This window comes from Homo sapiens, chromosome 6 (assembly GCF_000001405.40).
Source record: "Homo sapiens chromosome 6, GRCh38.p14 Primary Assembly".
NCBI lineage: Eukaryota > Metazoa > Chordata > Mammalia > Primates > Hominidae > Homo > Homo sapiens.
In genome coordinates, this window is record NC_000006.12 from 55914827 (window position 1) to 55916109 (window position 1283).

Consider the following 1283-nt stretch of genomic DNA (forward strand, 5'->3'; position numbering starts at 1 on the left):
ATATTATATATACTGTGCAAAATATGGAAGATAATATGGATTGAGTCAATGTACCAGGGATGTACTAATAAATGTTTAAAAATCGGCTGGCTCTTAGTGGTGGTGGGGGGTCTGATGTGTATTATTTGTCAATTTTCATGGTGTAAATATTACTATATATTATATAAATTATATATTATATATTATATTATTAATAATATATTATTAAATTATATATAACTGTTATATATTATTATTTAACTGTATGTAAATATATTTATTTCATGGTATAATTTTTCCATATCTATCTTTCAGGCACGATTCTGAATACAAACACAATACCAACAGTTAGATGTATCTCACAATATTTATAATGGGACAAGTGAGCCTGAGGTCAACTTCCTCTGCTAGGAGGCAAAGTTGTCGGATGTGAGATGTTCCTGCAAATCATTCCACTGTCCCCTCTTCAGGTTCCTGAGTACTGGCAGGTACAGCTTTCTAATCCTAGGAAATCAGCTCCCTTCGAGTCTTAAACTTAGTAGTGCCCATAGCAACCATACGGAAGCATGAGGAAATTTTGGTGAATCAATTATCTCATGCTCTGGAAATTTTCCCTGGAGGGCCAGGATGGGATCCCCTCCTTTAGCCCTCCACACATTTTGTAGGCCTTTAATTTAAACCTTTTCTGCTTAAAATTTGCTACACAACTGGCTTTGTTGGCACCCATTTACAACTTTAATTTTTTTTTTAATTTCTGCATATCTGGTCGTGTTCTCTCCTCAATTCTCTTAAATATCAGCTCAAATATTACATTGTTATGAAATCTTCTTAGACAAATTTTTTTTTTCTTAAGCCGTATACCTCCTTGTCTGCGAACTCTCATAGGGGGCCCAGGTATGTACAAAGTGGTCTCACTTTAAAATGTAGACAAGTTCCATCAGGTTGGCAGGACAGGTTAGGTGTGCACAAGTGCACAGGTTAGGTGTGCACAGGTTAGGTGTGCACAAGTAACATATCTGCAAGAAGACAATAAGCACTTGGAAAGAAATTAACCAAAGATAAATACATATAGAAAAACAAAACTGGTTCAATAGCAATGCTCTCATTATCAGAGGGTCCAGGTGATTTTGATACAGTTTTCCTTTCCTATTCCTGAGGATTTATTTATGTCTAAATCCCAGGGAGATAGGGAGCTACTATTGGCAAGCAACAATAAATGACTGCTTCACTAAAATTCTGAATATTATTGGTATACACACCATAAAAGTAGAAACAATTTTCCATATTTGAGGTTGCATACCATA